Source organism: Homo sapiens, chromosome 2, assembly GCF_000001405.40.
Source record: "Homo sapiens chromosome 2, GRCh38.p14 Primary Assembly".
In the NCBI taxonomy this organism is placed as follows: Eukaryota; Metazoa; Chordata; class Mammalia; order Primates; family Hominidae; genus Homo; species Homo sapiens.
In genome coordinates, this window is record NC_000002.12 from 179,180,212 (window position 1) to 179,202,118 (window position 21,907).

The 21,907-nt window shown below is 37.2% G+C and overlaps 1 protein-coding gene across 6 annotated transcripts in view, besides 1 other annotated feature; it reads right to left on the reverse strand.

The window, feature by feature from the left end:
• SESTD1 (SEC14 and spectrin domain containing 1) overlaps window positions 1-21,907 on the reverse strand; it is a 163,155-nt gene that overhangs the window by 78,534 nt on the left and 62,714 nt on the right. For 4 of the 6 annotated variants that reach the window (XR_007084411.1, NM_178123.5, XM_047446274.1 and 1 more), the window contains exons 2-3: window positions 11,576-11,655; window positions 2,869-2,977 (exon numbers count right to left, since the gene is read on the reverse strand). Coding sequence is in view for 3 of the 6 variants with exons in the window: in XM_047446274.1 (XP_047302230.1) it covers window positions 2,869-2,977; window positions 11,576-11,655 (189 nt within the window). In the remaining 3 variants the exon portion in view is untranslated. Of the gene's footprint in view, window positions 1-2,856; window positions 2,978-11,575; window positions 11,656-21,907 lie in introns of those variants that run through there. The other 2 variants (XM_011512141.3, XM_047446275.1) reach the window with 2 other exon arrangements.
• Window positions 16,003-16,502: an enhancer, noted in NCBI's record as "H3K4me1 hESC enhancer chr2:180060941-180061440 (GRCh37/hg19 assembly coordinates)". NCBI's record gives its function as "activates a minimal SCP1, AML or CMV promoter by ChIP-STARR-seq in naive H9 embryonic stem cells {active_cell/tissue: H9 hESC(naive)}" and the evidence as "EXISTENCE:reporter gene assay evidence [ECO:0000049][PMID:30033119]".

The following is a 21,907-nucleotide window of genomic DNA, read 5'->3' on the forward strand; positions in this document are numbered from 1 at the left end:
TTTGTCCCTGTGTTCATTAAAAATAAGCACAAAGTATAAGAAATTGAGTAATTTCTTTTTATTTTTGCAAGAATTTTGAAAAGCTATTATTATATTCAAAACGTTAAGATAGTCATTGCATGAAAAAAACAATTTTGGACATCTCCTATTAGGAAGAGGCTACCTTAGCTAGCTACACTGCTGGAGATGTTGGCAGATGTTCACAGCTGGAAGGAGTTAAACATTAACAGCTGGAAGCTGGGAGACAAAAGCAGGTCACAAAAGAATGTAGATACACCAGAAATGAAAAAACCTTTCTAGACACATGCTGGGCCTGATCTGCTAGGGTAAACTTAAAAACATTCCTAAGGACAAAAAGAGGGGTGAAACATGGGAGATAACGTGATAAAAACAAAGTACATTATTAGTTTTAGATTTTCTAAGTGGTGGACATATGGGTGTCACCGTATAATTCCTTCAACTTTCCTGCATATATGAACATTTTAATAAAATGTTGGGGGGTTACGTTTTAAAAGCACTCCTGAGTGGTGGAAATTCTGAATGAAAAACATTGGTTTTAAGATCACACATCTAGTTAACTGCTCTCTAGCATCGCAATGGAGAGATCAAAAACACCTTAGCTCTCTAAGGAAATGGCAAGTACGGATAAAAAGCTGACAGCCATGTTTGTTAATCCCAAAATTATGGGAGGCTGATCCAAGAAAGCAGAAGGATAGAGTTTTCATGAATATTTGAGAAGGCCAAACTTTAGCAAAACAATCATAAGAAATAAAGTATCCAGGTATCTATTTTGCCTTGCTAGAATGAGTTCTTTCATCTTGCTTCAACTTACACCTTCTCTGCTAGTTGGCAGGTACGTGTAGATATGCAGAAACTGATTCATCATTTACACTGGAGGAACATCATATGCACATTTACATGAGAAAGAGAAAGAAAAAATTTAAATAGTATAGGCTATTTTGCCTTCCACTGTACTTCCTGCTTATCCACGCCAGAGTGAACATGAGCCCAGAGATGTGAATGAATCTGCTGGTCCTTTAGCCTCCCTCAGTTACCCAGTGCCTCGGACAGGTGAGCATCCTGTTGAACTGAATGTGATTCCAGTATACACAAACATGCATTTTCTTAAAACAAACCTAATCACAAGCCAACTATGTCTTCTGGAATTCAGTGTGAATAACTTGCTCCAATGCTGAAGGAAAACCTAACATGTTCATGGAAAGATAATACAGTCTCTGATCCACCCTCAGGCATTTTTCAAGAGTAACTTTGACAATTAGGAGTTTTTGCTTTTCATTTGAACCTCAGAATTGGACTTCACATGAGATGCAACTACACTGAATTCTACTCATCTGAAGTACAAAAAGGCTCTAAATTGGTGTCAGGAATCATGGACTCTCATCCCAGCTGTGCGACTCACTAGGTGTGAGATCTTGGGCAAGTAACCATAACCTCAGAGTTTCAATTTCCTCAACTACAAAATAAGGCACTTGGCTCAGATGGCACTTGACATATTTAACCTTCTATGAATCCATCTATGAATATTTTTTTCATAATTTGTAAGCTATAAGTCTGGCTAACCATGGTTACCTAAAAAGCAGTTTGTTATCTAATGATGAACAAGTTAGCAATCCACAGCTTGGGGGATTAGCAAGATTACTGCTAATGCAATTAGCTAATGCTAATACTAATGCACTGACTACAGGTTCTCATCATTTTCACCCCCAGAAACTGAAAAAATTGAAAATTTTCACATGAAGACCGCTGTTTCCACAATATTAAAAAAAAAAAAAAAACAGCAACAGAATCATTAAATTATAGAACACTATTGGATGCAGGTGCGATTAAAATCAGTTGTTTTAACCCCATACTCTGCAAGGTGGTTTAAATGGAAAAAAGCTATTGTGTCAATAAAATGCAAATACAGGAAAAACATACAAAGAATTGTTTACTCTGATGAAAATGTTTAAAATTCACTAGCTAGAACTTAAGAGCAGTATATGAGATAGTCGTGTTCCTTTTTCTACCTCTACATTGTACACACACAAACACACACACACACACACAGAAACCTGCCCTCATTTACATGCTTAATTGTAGTGGTTTACAAATCTGGTTGCACATTAGAAATACACAGGAAGCTTAAAAGACTTTTTAAAAATTCTGATAAGCAGGCTTCCCAAGAACAATTGGATCAGAATCTCTGGAAGTGAACCCTCCATCATTAGAATTTTGAAAAAAATCTCCAGATGACTAATACGCAGTCACAGTTGTGCCTCAGTCCCAATTATGGGAGAAGCAGATGGGGAGGAAGCTTTATTTTTTTTTGTTGAAGTCATGGGTAGACTAGGACAAATAAAGAGGGTTAAGTTGGGTCTTCACTGAAGAAATGTGAAAATTAAAGTTAAAGGCCCTTTAGATTAAAATATAAACAAACATTTTTGACATTTTTTAAAATAAAAATATTTATAAACTCCTAATAGACTTCACTCACTTAATACATTAAAACCTGCAGACGTATTTATATCAATATGGTGAAATAGCTTACCTAAATAAAAGATGTTTTCTACTGATTAAATTCTCCAATTTTCCTAAAGTTACATGATATAGATGCTTAGTTACTGGGTTCCTTAAAAGTCGACAATACATACATTTTGGAAATCTGTATATCCTTAAATTCATCAAGAGCATAAAATAAGCATTTTATCTGCAATGATGTTATAAGTCATTGATTTTAGTATCTATAATTATAATTTCACTGCGAATAAAAGCAGATAAGATAGCAAAGTATAATTCAACAATAGAAAGAATCATTAGTAACTGAATGAAAACATACTGAGATTTAAGAAAAGACACCTTTAGAGTCACCTTGGAATGCTGAGTAGGTAGTCTAAGGTGACACTCAGCTCATCCATATTTGTCTGTTCGAGGCATAATGGAATTGTCAAAATGAGGCCACTCCGTCTGTCTTTTCCTCCTATTAAAAAAGAGATTTAAATTTAACATGTAATACATATTAAGGCATAATCTGAATAATATACATTTGAATCCAATCTTACTAAAATAATGATAAGTTTAAGATATAATTTGGAAAATATCTAATGGCTACTTATAGATTGTAAATTTTTATGATAGTATAGAAGAATTACAGAAAATTTAGAAAAAAGGAAAAAAATTCACCCATGAAATCTTCACCCAAACATAGCAAATATCACTTTATTTAAATTTCTTCCATTTACTGTCCTTAATGTAATCAATTCATCAAACACCTCTCACGTGCCCAGCACAGTAAGTATTTGCAAGTAAAATAAAATAAATTTCCAATCAACCTAGGAAGAAAATATTTAGGAGATAAGAAATATGATAGTTTGTTATGTTCTATAAGATATATAAAATTATAAAAAGGGATTTAGAAAATGATTAAGAGCTGCAGTAAATGTGAAAAGTTTCACTGAAAAGTTAAGACTTGAGAAAAACAGAGCTGGGGGTATTGGCGTGTCTGTAGTCTCATATCCCAGCTACTCAGGAGGCTGAGGGCGAGAGTATCACTTGAATCCAGGAGTCCAGTACTGGCCGGGGCAACATAGCAAGATTGCATGGAAAGAAAGAAAAGAAAAGAAAGGAGAGAGAGAGAGAGAGAGAGAGGAAGAGAGACAGAGAGGAAGGAAGGAAGGGAGGAAACGAGGAAGGGAGGTAGGGAGGGAGGGAGGGAAAGGAAAACGGGTAGAATTTGTAAACCAAGTCAAAAGAGTATTCTGTGATGAGGAATGATCTGAGTTAACTCACAAAGGTCAGACAGGCATATACTGTTCATAAGACAATAAAGATAAAACCCTGCCCAGCTGAGAAGGGTACATGGGAACTGGATATTGAAGTCTGAAATCCCGGTAGTAGAATACAGTTACATTCCATGTACGTTCAAGTCCCTTTCAGTGTGCCAAAAGTATAATGTAACTTTTAAATACTTTTATGCCCACATCATGTCTTTGGAAGTTTCCTACATGTTTGAATTTCATACTGAAGCCCATCTTCTGACCAAACTGACATTTGAGGTAATTTGAGAGGCTTAAAAAGCAGCAAATACTGAAAGAAACAATTCCACATGATCGCTAGACATCTATCACTAAAAACTGAAAGGTGTGAAGAAAAAGACTCATATTAGTGACACAAATGCAATTCATAACATATGAACCATAAATGAACCTCTGTCCTCCATTAGGTCAACGATTACTGCCATCCAACCACTTTGTTTAATGTCAACAAATTATCATCTAAGGTGATTCAACTTAGTAATCAATCAATACGACTTCAATTGCCTATTTTTTGTTCAGAATATGTGTCATTTCTCAAAAAAAAAAAATGGATTAACACAAGTGGTTTTCAAACTGCATCCCCTGAATGACTCTGTTGGTTTGAAAAAATTTTCTCTATTACTAAAAAAGTTTGAAAATTACTGGCTTAAATCATCAATGGTCAAGAGAGGGCGTTAATAGGAACAGGCTAAGAAGTCTTTCATTTACTCCTCAAAATTGCTAAGCTTTATCCACCCATTAAGCCAAGCCCCAAAAAAGGCTCACACCTGGACTATGGCACTCTGACTCACTGTAGAATTGTCTTTAGAAGATAAATTTAACATTCAGGGCTATATTTAAATCCATTCCCTCAGCTTTCATTCAGGGACAATAAAATAATCACCAGTGTAAAAGTACCAGAGGGGTGAAAGCCAACAGGAAAAAGACTTTCAAGATAGTTATGGTCAAAAGCATCAAATGCTACACAGAGACAAGCATCACAAGATGCAAAAATGTCATGGTAAAGATTATAAGAGAATAATAGTGTCTACTATTGAAAAGAGTGTGAGAACACAGGCATTTTCACACACCATTGGAAAAAATAGGAATTGAAACAATCTTCTTGGAGGGCAATCTGACAAAACCTAACACAAATATAAATGCATATTATCCTTATACCACTTCTACTCATAAAAATGCATACTGCTGAACTTGTACAAAATAGACAAAGCTTTCCAGGTATAGAAGAGAAAAAACTGCACAAAGCTATGAATAAGAATATTTACAAAATCATCATTCATATCAGAGTATAATATATAATATAGCATATATTAATATTATACATTGTATTAATATAGTATTATAAATTCAATATATATTACATATTGTATATATAGTATATGTAATGTATATAATATAGTATATTCTATATTGTATAATAGTAATATATAGTATATGATATACTATATATTACTTATCATATATACAATATATATTATATCGTATATTGTATATTATATATTGTATATATGTAATATATGATATGTACATATGTTATATATGTATATAATATACTATATTATATATTGTATATTATATACATATATAACACTATTATACAATATATAATATAGCATATTATATACAATATAGCATATACAATATATAATATAGCATATTATATATAATATAGTATATTATATACAATATATAATATAGCATATTATATATAATATAATATAGTATATTATATACAATATATAATATAGCATATACAATATAGTATACAATATATAATATAGCATATACAATATAGTATATTATATATAATATATAATATAGCATGTACAATATAGTATGTTATATACAATATATAATATAGCATATACAATATAGTATATTATATACAATATATAATATAGCATATACAATATATTATATTATATACAATATATAATATAGCATATACAATATAGTATATTATATACAATATATAATACAGCATATACAATATAGTATATTACATACAGTATATAATATAGCATATACAATATAGTATATTATATACAATATATAATATAATACATACTAGGAAAACATGTCAATTATACAGAGACATAACATACTTTGAAAAAAGGACATTAGTATTATCAAGGCAATTAGGACAGGACATAAAAAAGAATAATAGAGAAAGCAAGATAATGCAGTCCAAATAACTCTGAGTTGGCAGAGCTACAGTATCTATACTAAATCATGTAGAGATTTACTCAACGATCTAAACTCCAGAAGATCACTACACCCAATGTACCATACATACATGCTCCCACTCATAGCTTCCCCTTGACTCATCTTAGCTGATACACACTTCAAGTTGATAACTGAAGATAAATTCAAGTGTATATAAACAGTTTTGAACAGCAAAGAGTGAAAACAGAATAATGGATATTAACTCCTCCAGTGTACTGAAACTTTCTCAGAGGAAGATGGAAGAAAAAAGCTAGAAGACAGTTATCATAAAAACTAATTATTCTGTATTTCAGAAACAATTATTTGGATGCCAGTTAGTCAATTATTATTACATTTTCATATCAGAAGTGAGACATCATGACATCTACCTTGTAGAGGTCATTTTAATGAAATTACAGAACAGGATAAGTATCAGAAGACTGTATTTTCAGGGAATTTTTTTTTTTTTTTTTTTTTGAGACGGAGTCTTGCTCTGTCGCCCAGGCTGGAGTGCAGTGGCGCGATCTTGGCTCACTGCAAGCTCTGCCTCCCAGGTTCATGCCATTCAGGGATTATTTTTACAGTTCATTCCTAGAGAGCTTTCTCCAAATGTGTAGAGCATCAAAAATCTTAAAGGAGGCTAGAGAAGAGTCAGATCACACACAATGGGAACCCTGTCAGGCTAACAGTGGACTTCTCAGGAGAAACATTATAAGCCAAAAGAGACTGGAGGCTTATTTTCAGCATTCTTAAAGAAAAAGATTTCCAACCAAGAATTTCACATCCCACCAAACTAAGCTTTATAAGTGAAGGAGAAATAAAATCTTTTCCATACAAGTAATTCCAAAGGGAATTCATTACCACTAGACCAAAGAGATCCTTAAGGGAGTTCTAAATATGGTAACAAAAGAACACCTGCTACTACAAAAACACATTTAATTACATAGCCCACAGACCCTATAAAGCAACTACGCAATTGAGACTACAAAGCAACCAGGTAACAACTTCAAAATAGGATTATAACCTCACATATCAATATTAGCCTTGAATGTAAAAGGTCTAACACCCCACTTAAAAGACACCAAATGGCAAGATGGATCCAAAAAAAAGATTTGGCCAAGCACAGTAGCTCATGCCTATAATCTCAGCAATTTGGGAGACTGAGGTAGAAGGATCACTTGAGCCCAGGAGTTTGAAACTAGCCTGGGCAATATATAAGGACACCTGTCTCTACAAAAAAATTAAAAATGAGAAAATTAGCTGGGCATGATGGCACATGCCTGTGGTCCCAGCTAGTCGAAAGGCTGAGGTGGGAGGACTGCTTGGGCCCAGGAGGTCAAGGCTACAGTGAGCTATGATCGCACCACTGCACTCCAGCCTGGGTGGCAGAACGAGATCCTGTCTCAAACAAACAAACAAAAAACAAGACCCATCCATCTTCTGTCTTCAAGAGACCCATCTCACATGTAATGACAATGACAGGTTCAAAGAAAAGGGTTGGGGAAAGACCTATTACACATATACAAAACAAAAAAAGAGCAGGGATCACTATTCTCATATCAGAAAAAACAGACTTTAAACCAACAATAATAAAATAGGACAAAGAAGAGCATTACATAATAATAAAGGGTTCAATTCAACATGAATACTTAATCATTCTAAATATATACACATGCACCCAACATTGAAGTACCCAGATTCATAAAAAAAGTAATTCTGGACCTACAAGATGAATTAGACAGCCACACAATAATAGCAGGGGATTTCAACACTCCACCGATAGAGTTAGACAGATCATCGGGGAGAAAACAAACATATTCTGAACTTAAATTTGACACTTGACCAACTGGACCTAATAGACATCTACAGAACAGTCTACCCATCAACCACAGAATATACATTCTTCTCATCTGCATATGAAACATACTCTAAGACCAACCACAGGCTCAGCCATAATGCAAGTCTTGATAAATAAAAAAAACTTGAAATCATACCAACCATACTCTCAGATCACAGTGTAACAGAAATAGAAATCAATACCAAGAAGATCTCTCAAAACCACACAATTACATGAAAATTAAACAGCTTGCATTTGAATGAATGTTGTGTAAACAAAATTAAGGCAGAAATCAAAAAATTGTTTTGAGATAAATGAAAACAGTGATACAACGTATCAAAGTGAGCGAGTCACTTGAGCTCATGAATTTGAGATCAGCCTGTGCAACACAGCAAAACCCCATCTTTACAAAAAATACAAAAATTGGCTGAGTATGGTGGTACACACCTGTAGTCTCAGCTAATTGTCAGGGCTGAGGCTGGAGGATCGCTTAAGCTCAGGAGGTCAAAGCTGCAGCCAGCCTTGTTTGTACTACTGATCTCCACCCTAGACTGAGTGACAAAGTGAGATCCTGTCTCAAAAAAAGGGGTGGGGGGCTGACAACACCAAATGATACACAAGATCAACAGACCACTAGCTAGACTAAGAAAGAAAAAAAAGAGAGGAGATCCAAATAAGGACAATTAGAAATGACAAGGTGACATTACAACTGATCCTACAGAAATACAAAAGACTTCTGTGCACACTAACTAGAAACTCTAGAGAAATGGATAACTTCCTAGAAACACAGACCCTCCCAAGGTTGAATCATAAAGAAACTGAAGCCCTCAACAGCCCAATATTGAGTTCTAAAACTGAATTGGTAATTTAAAAAAATCTACCAATCAAAAAAAGCCCTGGACTAGATGGATTCACAGCCAAATTCTACCAGACATACAGAGAAGAGCTAGTACCAATCCTACTGAAATTATTCCAAAAAATTAAAGAGGAGGGATTCCCTCTTCTGTAAAGCCAGCATCATCCTGACACCAAAACCTAGTGAGGTCACAACAACAAAAAAAGCAAACTAAAGGCCAATATCCCTGATGAACAGAGATGCAAATATCCTCAACAAAATACTAGCAAACGGAATCTCACAGCAAACCAAAAAGTTAATCCTCCACATTCAATTAGGCTTTATTCCTGGGATGCAAGATCAGTTCAACATGCACAAATCAATAAATGTGAGTCACCACATAAACAGAATTAAAAACCATATGATCATCTCAATAGATGCAGAAAAAGCCTTTGATAAAATCCAACATCCTTTCATGATAAAAACCCTCAATAAACTATGCATTGAAGAAATACATCTCAAAATAATAAAAGCTATCTATAGACAAACCCACAGCCAACATTATGCTGAACAGGCAAATGCTAAAAGTATTCCCCTTAAGAACTGGAAAAAAACAAGGATAGCCACTCTCACCACTTGTATTCAACATAGTACTAAAAGTCCTAGCAAGAACCATCAGGCAAGAAAAAGAAATAAAAGGCATAGAATTAGAAAAAGGAGGAGTCAAATTATTGCTCTTCGTTGACTTTATGTTTCTATACCTAGACAACCCTAAAGCCTCCACCAAAAGGCTTCTAGAACTGATAAATTACATTAGTAAAATGTCAGGGTAAAAAAATCAATATACAAAAATAAGTTGCATTTCCAAACACCGATGACACTCAAACTGAGAGCCAAAATAAAGAACATATTCCCATTTATAATGGCCATAAAAAATACCTAAAACTACACCTAAGCAAAAAGGTGAAAGATACCTACAAAGAGAGCTATAAAACACTGCTGAAAGAAATAACAGAAGACATAAAGTAATGGAAAAACATTCCATCGTCATATTTAAAATGTTAAAATGGCCATACAGCCCAAAGCAATCTACAAATTCAATGCTATTCATATCAAACTACCAATGTCAATTTTCACAGAATAGAAAAAAACTAAAGTTCATATGGAAACAAAAAAAAGCCCAATTAGCTACAGCAATTCTAAGCAAAAAGAAAAAATCCAGAGATACTACATTACCTGTCTTCAAACTACACTACAAGGCTGCAGTAAACAAAACAGCATGGTACTAGTACAGAAACAGACACATGGACCAATGGAACAGAATAGAGATTCCAGAAATAAGGTCACATACCTATAGCCTTCTGATCTTCAACAAAACACGCAATGGGGAAAGAACTACCTATTTAATAAATGATGCTAGGATAACTTGCTAGCCATATGCAGAAGAATGAAACTGAACCATACCTTTCACCATATACAAAAATTAACTCAAGATGAATTAAAGACTTAAACCTAAGGCCTAAAACTATAAAAATCCTAGAAGAAAACCTAGGAAATACAATTCTGAGTATCGGCCTCAGAAAAAAAATTATGACTAAGTCCTCAAAAGTAACTGCAACTAACACAAAAATTGAAAAGTAGGACGTAATTAAACTAAAGAGCTTCTGCACAACAAAAGAAACTATCAATAAACAGACAACCTACAAAATGGGAGAAAATATTCACAAACTATGCCTCCAACAAAGGCCTAATACCAAGAATCCATAATGAACTTAATCAATTCAACAAGGAAAAAACAAATAACCCCATTAAAAAGTGGGCAAAGGACATGAACAGACATTTCTCAAAAGAAGACACACAAGTGGCCAACAAGCATGCACATCACAGATAATCACAGGAATGCAATCAAATTGACAATGAAATATCATCTCATACTAGTCAGAATGTCTATTATTAAAAAGTCAAAAAAATAACAGATGCTGGTGAAGCTGCAGAGAAAAGGAAATGCGTATACACTGTTGGTGGTCATGTAAATTAGTTCAGTAACTGGAGAAAGCAGTTTGGAGACTTCTCAGAGAACTTAAAACAAAGAATCTACAAAACAATGTATTTTCCTTTGGGTATATACCCAGTAATGGGATTGCTACCATTCAATCCAGCAATCCCATTACTGTGTATATATCCAACGGAAAATAAATTGCTCTATCAAAAAGACACATGCATTCATACGTTCCTTGCAGCACTATTTATAATAGCAAAGACACAGAATCAACTTAGGTGCCCATCAACAGTGGAATGGATAAAGAAAACGTGGTACATATACATCATAGAGTACTATGCAGCTGTAAAAAAACAGGGAAATCATGCCCTTTGCCACAACATGGATGCAGCCAGAGGCCATCATCCTAGGTGAATATTGACACAGAAACAGAAAACCAAATATTGCACATTCTCATTTGTAAGAGGGAGCCAAACATTGGGCACACATGGACATAAAGATGGGAGCAACAGACACTGGAGACTACTGCAGGGGAGGGAGAGAAGGGGAAAAGGGCTGAAAAACTACCTACTGGGTATTATGGTCACTACCTGGGTGAGGAGAATCAATTATACCCCAAACCTTAGTATCATGTAATATACCCATGCAACAGACAGGCACATGTACCCCCTGAATCTAAAAAAATGAAATTAGAAAAATAAATTGGCCTGCCAAGAACCAGTACAGAGTTAGCTCTCCTAGCTCTTCATTCTGATTTAAAGATGTCTTAGAAATACCTTTTAAACAAAACTTTCATTAAAAAAAAATGCATCTGTCATACTTAACAAAGAAGAAACTATTAAAAAGTTTGTATATCAAACACTTCAAATTTTAAGAAGAAATCATACCTGAAAGGAAGGCTAGTTTTTTCTTCAGAATGGGTAATATTACTGAGGCCTCCATTTTACTCCAGTGAACTTCCTTAATTCTGAAAACACAGAAAGTCAAATGTCAACTACAAGACAACAATTATTCCACGAAATATATCCTAATGATGGTTTATCCCAGAGTTTCTAAACCTGAGAACTACTGACATTTTGAGCAAGATAATTCTTTTTTTGTAGGGAGTTATCCTGTGCATTGTAGAATAGTTTGCAGCATCCCTGGTCTCTCTCTACTCACTAAAAACCAATACCACCTCCCTTTCCCAGCTGTGACAACCAGAATGTCTCTAGACATGGCCAAATATCCTCTGGTAGGCAAAATCACAAGTGGTTGAGAATCACTGGCTTAATTCTTTCTCAGAGCAATACTCGGGCTAAAACACTGCCTGGTACATACTAGTAACTAAAAAATTAATTTGTTGAATAAACAAATGAATCAATCAAACAGGCAGTCAATCTTCCTTTGTGTTCCTTATTAATTACACAGCTTAATGCCAAATATCTGATTCTTTCCATTTCACTATTAAATGGCTTTTTCTGATTTCTCATATTTTTGCTCCCCTATAACACATGGTACCACATCTTATCCTGTTTATCTCACTACATTTTCTAATACATTGTTTCAATTTTTGCCCCCATTGTTAACTGCCTCCATCTCTCTACATTTTACAGTTTTTAATTTTCCAGGGAAAAATTTGATTAGGCCAGCTCATCTTTTTGTACCAGGCCACAATTCACTATTCTTTGATTCAGTTTTCCAGGGTCTACTCAGCCATAGCCAGGGGTTATAGCTAAATACAAAAAGGGACTACCCTTATAGCAAGGGCTAAGGGCAAGATAGTTTCCCTTAAATGGAGGTTTTGCCATGGCAGGCATTCAGGCTTGGCCAGCCCAGTATACCATCAAATTTTGATTTTAAGGAGAGCAGGACCTTTCAAACAAAACAACAACAAAAATGAACAAAATCAGATTCAATTCTATTATCCTCTTATACTCATGTCTGAGAGAGTATTCTCAATCACATTTTATCCCTTCCTCCCCTATCCCATCTCACACCCACCCACCATCACAACACAGAGCAGTTCCTTGAAGTACACTGTGAAATTTTATTGTATTTAGTGAAAGCATATTCTCTTGAAGACATTTCTAGAACAGCAGAAAATATGACTCTTTGTATGAGTATATTACTTATTCAGCAAACACCTGCTATTAACCTATCCCACCTAAGGCTGTGCTACCAGCTAGAGCTAAAAACTCCAGAAACAGCCCTGCTCTAGGGGGTGGGAAAAAAAGGCAGTCTTTAAAAAACAAACAAAAAAATAGATGTTGAGGAAAAAAAAAGATGGAGTTGTAACATTGGTCAGATAATGGCTAATTAAACAAGACTAATTAAACCAGTATATAATTTTATAGCTTTTGAGTTTACAACTTAAAAAACACAACCATTTGCATCTGTCTTCAAAGAAAACAAGTTGTCCATCTAGATGATATATTCAAGTTCCCTTGAATATTTGCGATTTGTTTATTCAAGTTTGTTCTATATTAGCCCGGCAAACAGACTAGTAGGAAGTAGAAGGAAAAAAGCTCACAATTTACATCTTTAATCTAAAACTAGTAGCACTTCATGATGAGTTGTTATCCAGTTATACAAGAACCCAGACAGCTTGGATTCACATCTTAAATCTCCTGTCCTGTGACCAGCTTGTTGAAGACCTGATTTGAAAGTTTGATAAAGGGGTGATAATAATTATTATAATTAACATTGACTAAGTGTTTATTATAAACTATGCACTGTTTTAAACGATTTCTTTTTATTATCTTAGTCTTCACAACATTTCTACAAGGTAGGTACTATTATTTTATTAGCCCCAAACAGCTTGTTGTTTTCCAGTCCCATCATGGGACAAACCCCGTCTATTCCTTCAGACTTATCTCTGGGTTGCATCCTAAAATAATGGATAAATCTGACCCTCAGACTCTCAAAAACAAAGTTTAATTTTCTTGTGTAATACAACATGGCCACCTTATAAACTTTCAGATCAGGAATCCTCCCGGCCACCAGGTGGGACCCTTGCCCCAGTACTATTTTACAGCTTGACCTTTTCTGTTGCAACTCTTTTAAATGGTCTGAAGTTCCTATTCCAGGCTTTCATAACTCACTCTCTCGGGATCCTGATCTCCACCAAATCTGCTGAATGTGCATGACTATATTCTCTGGCCCCACTGGCTCTTTTGACATTTTGGATGGCCTTTCTTTTACTCTCTCCCATTCTCCCCAACTAGCTGGATGGGTTGAGGCCACACCTTCTTCCCCTAACAAACCACCTTCACATTCAATTACACCTACTCCATCTGCTCCCTCTCTCTCACCTTCCCCTCAACATCCCAACCTTTGATGTTGTTTTCCAGTGCCTCCTCCTTATCAGGGATTCTACTCCCCTTCTCATACTAGGTCAGAGGCCACCTATGATCTCATTTTGGCCTCAGAAAAAGTTCTGCTGCTCCAGGACGTGGCAAATGGGGATCTAGGAACCATCAGAGTCCATGTTCCCTTCCTAATGTCTGATCTTTCCCAAATAAAAACTAAGCTTTGGCTCTTTCAGTAGGGGCCCTCCTCATTTCATGAAGGAATTTACAGGACTATTGCTTCCCTCTACCTCACTTGGCAGGACATGTATATTATTTTTTACCACATATTGCACCCATGAGGAAAAATCCCACATATGGTCTCTGGCTCAAAGGTGAGCAGATGAAGTGCATACCCCAAACCCCCAGGAGTCCGGCCCTGGGAGAACGGCAATGCCTTACACTGATCTTAGGTGGGGTTATCAAGAGGGAGACCACAGAAGGAAATATCATAATCACATGATCACTTGCCTGATTCAGAGCATGAAAAAGGCCACATAAAACTTGTAAATTATGCCAAACTAAGGGAAATAAGACAGGGGTCAAATTAAAACCCAGCCCTATTTTATACCAAGCTGGCTGAGGCTATGAGAAAATATACTAATATGAACCCCCAGAGCCCAGAAGACCTCACTGTCATAGCTGTTTATCAGCCAGGCATCCCCATACATCAGACATGAACTCCAAAAGCCAGATCAGAGACCACAAACTACTTTCCCAACATTGCTGGACACAGCCTTCAAGTTCTTCAGTAATTGAGAACAGAATAAGGGGAACAGAGCTACAGAGAAAGAAAAATGCAAGGACAAGAGACAGGCTTAACTGCTGGCTGCTTTAGAAGCCTCCAGCCCATTCTAGATTGTCCTAAGGACACTTCTCCAAGTAAGTGTTCTTGATGCAGAAGGACAGGCCACCGGATATGGTTTGACTCTGTGTCCCCACCCAAATCTCATCGTCAATCCCCATGTTTTGAGGAAGAGAATTGTAATCTCCATATGTAGAGTGAGGGAAGTGATTAGATCATGGGGGTGGTTCCCCCATGCTGTTCTTGTGATAGTGAGTTCTCAAGAGATCTAATGGTTTCATAAATGGCAGTTTCCCCTGCCCTCCTTACTTCTCTCTCCTGCCACCCTGTGAAGAAGGTGTCTGCTTCCTCTTCTACCATGACTGTTAAGTTTCCTGAGGTCTCCCCAGCCATGCAGAACTGTGAGTGAATTAAACCTCCTTTGTTTACAAATTACCCAGTCTCAGGTATTTCTTTATAGCAGTGTGAAAACAGACTAAATAGAAACTTCAACTTAGATAGTCATACTTCAGGGGTTTAAAATATAGCCCACACTTATTCAAACAAGCCCTAGCAAGAAAGCTAATTGAACAATCTCTTAAGAGGGGATAACTTCTACAGTATGTAAATTACCTCCTCATTTGATCCTCCTTCACAGAACTCACACAGCAAATGAAACGGAAACCTTAACTTCCCAACAAAAGGAAAATAATTTTTCCCTAATTCACAGGTTACGTAAAGGTTACATATGAAACAAGTTAAAAGGAACCAGGGAATAAGAGAGACATGAAGAAGGTTATAAAGGTAAAAAGGCATTTTGGGAAAGGAAGGTTATTTAAAAAAAAAAAAAGACTTCGTATGAGAAAAAAAATCTCGTATGGTAAATTCTTGTCCTAAAATAGAATAACTGGTTGTTTAAGACAGAGGAATGTGGGAGGAGCCAAGATGGCCGAATAGGAACAGCTCCGGTCTACAGCCCCCAGCATGAACGACACAGAATACGGGTGATTTCTGCATTTCCATCTGAGGTACCGGGTTCATCTCACCAGGGAAGGCCAGACAGTGGGCGCAGGTCAGTGGGTGCACGCACCATGTGCAAAACGAAGCAGGGCGAGGCATTGCCTCACGCAGGAAGCGCAAGGGGTCAGGGAGTTCCCTTTCCTAGTCAAAGAACGGGGTGACAGATGGCACCTGGAAAATTGGGTCACTCCCACTCGAATCCTGCGCTTTTCCGACGGGCTTAAAAAACGGCGCACCAGGAGATTACATCCCGCACCTGGCTCGGAGGGTCCTACACCCACGGAGTCTCGCTGACTGCTAGCACAGCAGTCTGAGATCAAACTGCAAGGTGGCAGTGAGGCTGGGAGAGGGGCGCCAGCCATTGCCCAGGCTTGCTTAGGTAAACAAAGCAGCCAGGAAGCTCAAACTGGGTGGAGCCCACCACAGCTAAAGGAGGCCTGCTTGCCTCTGTAGGCTCCACATCTTGGGGGCAGAGCACAGACAAACAAAAAGACAGCAGTAACCTCTGCAGACTTAAATGTCCCTGTCTGACAGCTTTGAAGACAGCAGTGGTTCTCCCAGCATGCAGCTAGAGATCTGAGAATGGGCAGACTGCCTCCTCAAGTGGGTCCCTGACCCCTGACCCCCGAGCAGCCTAACTGGGAGGCACCCCCCAGAAGGGGCAGACTGACACCTCACACGGCTGGGTACTCCAACAGACCTGCAGCTGAGGGTCCTGTCTGTTAGAAGGAAAACTAACAAACAGAAAGGACATCCACACCAAAAACCCATCTGTACATCACCATCATCAAAGACCAAAAGTAGATAAAACCACAAAGATGGGGAAAAAACAGAGAAGAAAAACGGGAAACTCTGAAAAGCAGAGCGCCTCTCCTCCTCCAAAGGAACGCAGTTCCTCAACAACAACGGAACAAAGCTGGACGGAGAATGATTTTGATGAGCTGAGAGAAGAAGGCTTCAGACGATCAAATTTCTCTGTACCTACGGGAGGACATGCAAACCAAAGGCAAAGAAGTTGAAAACTTTGAAAAAAATTTAGAAGAATGTATAACTAGAATAACCAATACAGAGAAGTACTTAAAGGAGCTGATGGAGCTGAAAACCAAGGCTCGAGAACTACGTGAAGAAAGAAGAAGCCTCAGGAGCCGATGCAATCAACTGGAAGAAAGGGTATCAGCTATGGAAAATGAAATGAATGAAATGAAGCGAGAAGGGAAATTTAGAGAAAAAAAAATAAAAACAAATGAGCAAAGCCTCCAAGAAATATGGGACTACGTGAAAAGACCAAATCTACATCTCACTGGAGTACCTGAAAGTGATGGGGAGAATGGAACCAAGTTGGAAAACACTCTGCAGGATATTATCCAGGAGAACTTCCCCAATCTAGCAAGGCAGGCCAACATTCACATTCAGGAAATACAGAGAACACCACAAAGATACTCTTCGAGAAGAGCAACCCCAAGACACGTAATTGTCAGATTCACCAAAGTTGAAATGAAGGAAAAAATGTTAAGGGCAGCCAGAGAGAAAGGTCGGGTTACCCTCAAAGGGAAGCCCATCAGACTAACAGCAGATCTCTCTGCAGAAACTCTACAAGCCAGAAGAGAGTGGGGGCCAATATTCAACATTCTTAAAGAAAAGAATTTTCAACCCAGAATTTCATATCCAGCCAAACTAAGCTTCATAAGTGAAGGAGAAATAAAATCCTTTACAGACAAGCAAATGCTGAGAGATTTTGTCACCACCAGGCCTGCCCTAGAAGAGCTCTTGAAGGAAGCGCTAAACATGGAAAGGAACAACCGGTACCAGCCACTGCAAAATCATGCCAAATTGTAAAGACCATCGAGACTAGGAAAAAACTGCATCAACTAACGAGCAAAATAACCAGCTAACATCATAATGACAGGATCAAATTCACACATAACAATATTAACTTTAAATGTAAATGGACTAAATGCTCCAATTAAAAGACACACAATGGCAAACTGGATAAAGAGTCAAGACCCATCAGTGTGCTGTATTCAGGAAACCCACCTCACATGCAGAGACACACATAGGCTCAAAATAAAAGGATGGAGGAAGATCTACCAAGCAAATGGAAAACAAAGAAAGGCAGGGGTTGCAATCCTAGTCTCTGACAAAACAGACTTTAAACCAACAAAGATCAAAAGAGACAAGGCCATTACATAATGGTAAAGGGATCAATTCAACAAGAAGAGCTAAGTTCCTAAATATATATGCACCCAATACAGGAGCACCCAGATTCATAAAGCAAGTACTGAGTGACCTACAAAGAGACTTAGACTCCCACACATTAATAATGGGAGACTTTAACACCCCACTGTCAACATTAGACAGATCAATGACACAGAAAGCCAACAAGGATACCCAGGAATTGAACTCAGCTCTGCATCAAGTGGACCTAATAGACATCTGCAGAACTCTCCACCCCAAATCAACAGAATATACATTTTTTTCAGCACCACACCACACCTATTCCAAAATTGACCACATACTTGGAAGTACAGCTCTCCTCAGCAAATGTAAAAGAACAGAAATTATAACAAACTATCTCTCAGACCACAGTGCAATCAAACTAGAACTCAGGATTAAGAATCTCACTCAAAACCGCTCAACTACATGGAAACTGAACAACCTGCTCCTGAATGACTACTGGGTACATAACGAAATGAAGGCAGAAATAAAGATGTTCTTTGAAACCAACGAGAACACAGACACAACATACCAGAATTTCTGGGACGCATTCAAAGCAGTGTGTAGAGGGAAATTTATAGCACTAAATGCCCACAAGAGAAAGCAGGAAAGATCCAAAATTGACACCCTAACATCACAATTAAAAGAACTAGAAAAGCAAGAGCAAACACATTCAAAAGCTAGCAGAAGGCAAGAAATAACTAAAATCGGAGTTAAACTGAAGGAAATAGAGACACAAAAAATCCTTCAAAAAATTAAAGAATCCAGGACCTGGTTTTTTGACAGGATCAACAAAATTGATAGAGCGCTAGCAAGACTAATAAAGAAAAAAGAGAGAAGAATCAAATAGACGCAATAAAAAATGATAAAGGGGAAATCACCACCGATCCCACAGAAATACAAACTACCATCAGAGAATACTACAAACACCTCTACGCAAATAAACTAGAAAATCTAGAAGAAATGGATAAATTCCTCGACACATACACTCTCCCAAGACTAAACCAGGAAGAAGTTGAATCTCTGAATAGACCAATAACAGGATCTGAAATTGTGGCAATATTCAATAGCTTACCAACCAAAAAGAGTCCAGGACCAGATGGATTCACAGCTGAATTCTACCAGAGGTACAAGGAGGAACTGGGACCATTCCTTCTGAAACTATTCCAATCAATAGAAAAAGAGGGAATCCTCCCTAACTCATTTTATGAGGCCAGCATCATCCTGATACCAAAGCCAGGCAGAGACAAAATCAAAAAAGAGAATTTTAGACCAATATCCTTGATGAACATTGATGCAAAAATCCTCAATAAAATACTGGCAAACTGAATCCAGCAGCACATCAAAAAGCTTATCCACCATGATCAAGTGGGCTTCATCCCTGGGATGCAAGGCTGGTTCAATATACACAAATCAATAAATGTAATCCAGCATATAAACAGAACCAAAGACAAAAACCACATGATTATTTCAATAGATGCAGAAAAGGCCTTTGACAAAATTCAACAACCCTTCATGCTAAAAACTCTCAATAAATTAGGTATTGATGGGACATATTTCAAAATAATAAGAGCTATCTATGGCAAAAACTGGAAGCATTCCCTTTGAAAACTGGCACAAGACAGAGATGCCCTCTCTCACCACTCCTATTCAACATAGTGTTGGAAGTTCTGGCCAGGGCAATTAGGCAGGAGAAGGAAATAAAGGGTATTCAATTAGGAAAAGGGGAAGTCAAATTGTCCCTGTTTGCAGACGACATGATTGTATACCTAGAAAACCCCATTGTCTCAGCCCAAAATCCGCTTAAGCTGATAAGCAACTTCAGCAAAGTCTCACGATACAAAATGAATGTACAAAAATCACAAGCATTCTTATACACCAACAACAGACAGAGAGCCAAATCATGAGTGAACTCCCATTCACAATTGCTTCAAAGAGAATAAAATACCTAGGAATCCAACTTACAAGGGATGTGAAGGACCTCTTCAAGGAGAACTACAAACCACTGCTCAATGAAATAAAAGAGGATACAAACAAATGGTAGAATATTCCATGCTCATGGGTAGGAAGAATCAATATCGTGAAAATGGCCATACTGCCCAAGGTAATTTATAGATTCAATGCCATCCCCATCAAGCTACCAATGACTTTCTTCACAGAATTGGAAAAAACTACTTTAAAGTTCATATGGAACCAAAAAAGAGCCCGCATCACCAAGTCAATCCTAAGCCAAAAGAACAAAGCTGGAGGCATCACATTACCTGACTTTAAACTATACTACAAGGCTACAGTAACCAAAACAGCATGGTACTGGTACCAAAACAGAGATATAGATCAATGGAACCGAATAGAGCTCTCAGAAATAACGCTGGATATCTACAACTATCTGATCTTTGACAAACCTGAGAAAAACAAGAAATGGGGAAATGATTCACTATTTAATAAACGGTGCTGGGAAAACTGGCTAGCCATATGTAGAAAGCTGAAACTGGATCCCTTCCTTACACCTTATACAAAAATCAATTCAAGATGGATTAAAGACTTAAACATTAGACTGAAAACCATAAAAACCCTAGAAGAAAACCTAGGCATTACCATTCAGGACATAGGCATGGGCAAGGACTTCATGTCTAAAACACCAAAAGCAATGGCAACAAAAGACAAAATTGACAAATGGGATCTAATTAAACTCAAGAGCTTCTGCACAGCAAAAGAAACTACCATCAGAGTGAACAGGCAACCTACAGAATGGGAGAAAATTTTCGCAACCTACTCATTTGACAAAGGGCTAATATCCAGAATCTACAATGAACTCCAACAAATTTACAAGAAAAAAACAAACAACCCCATCAAAAAGTGGGCGAAGGACATGAACAGACACTTCTCAAAAGAAGACATTAATGCAGCCAAAAAACACATGAAAAAATGCTCTCCATCGCTGGCCATCAGAGAAATGCAAATCAAAACCACAATGAGATACCATCTCACACCAGTCAGAATGGCAATCATTAAAAAGTCAGGAAACAACAGGTGCTGGAGAGGATGTGGAGAAATAGGAACACTTTTACACTGTTGGTGGGACTGTGAACTAGTTCAACCATTGTGGAAGTCAGTGTGGCGATTCCTCAGGGATCTAGAACTAGAAATACCATTTGACCCAGCCATCCCATTACTGGGTATATACCCAAAGGACTATAAATCATGCTGCTATAAAGACACATGCACACGTATGTTTATTGTGGCATTATCCACAATAGCAAAGGCTTGGAACCAACCCAAATGTCCAACAATGATAGACTGGATTAAGAAAATGTGGCACATATACACCATGGAATACTATGCAGCCATAAAAAATGATGAGTTCATGTCCTTTGTAGGGACATGGATGAAATTGGAAATCATCATTCTCAGTAAACTATCGCAAGAACAAAAAACCAAACACCGCATATTCTCACTCATAGGTGGGAACTGAACAATGAGAACACATGGACACAGGAAGGGGAACATCACACTCTGGGGACTGTTGTGGGGTGGGGGTAGGGGGGAGGGATAGCATTGGGCAACATACCTAATGCTAGATGATGAGTTAGTGGGTGCAGCGCACCAGCATGGCACATGTATACATATGTAACTAACCTGCACATTGTGCACATGTACCCTAAAACTTAAAGTATAATAATAATAATAATAATAATAATAATAATAATAATAAAGAAAGAGGAATGCTTAGGACAAGTCACAAAGTCCAAGCATGTCAAAAATAGTCTGTGTAAGTCATAAGAAGGTTTGTAAAGGGAAATTTAGGAAAGGAATTTTGTATGTGATTAAGTTGGTTATAAATGAAAGGGAATTATTTAGGATAGTCTTTCTAA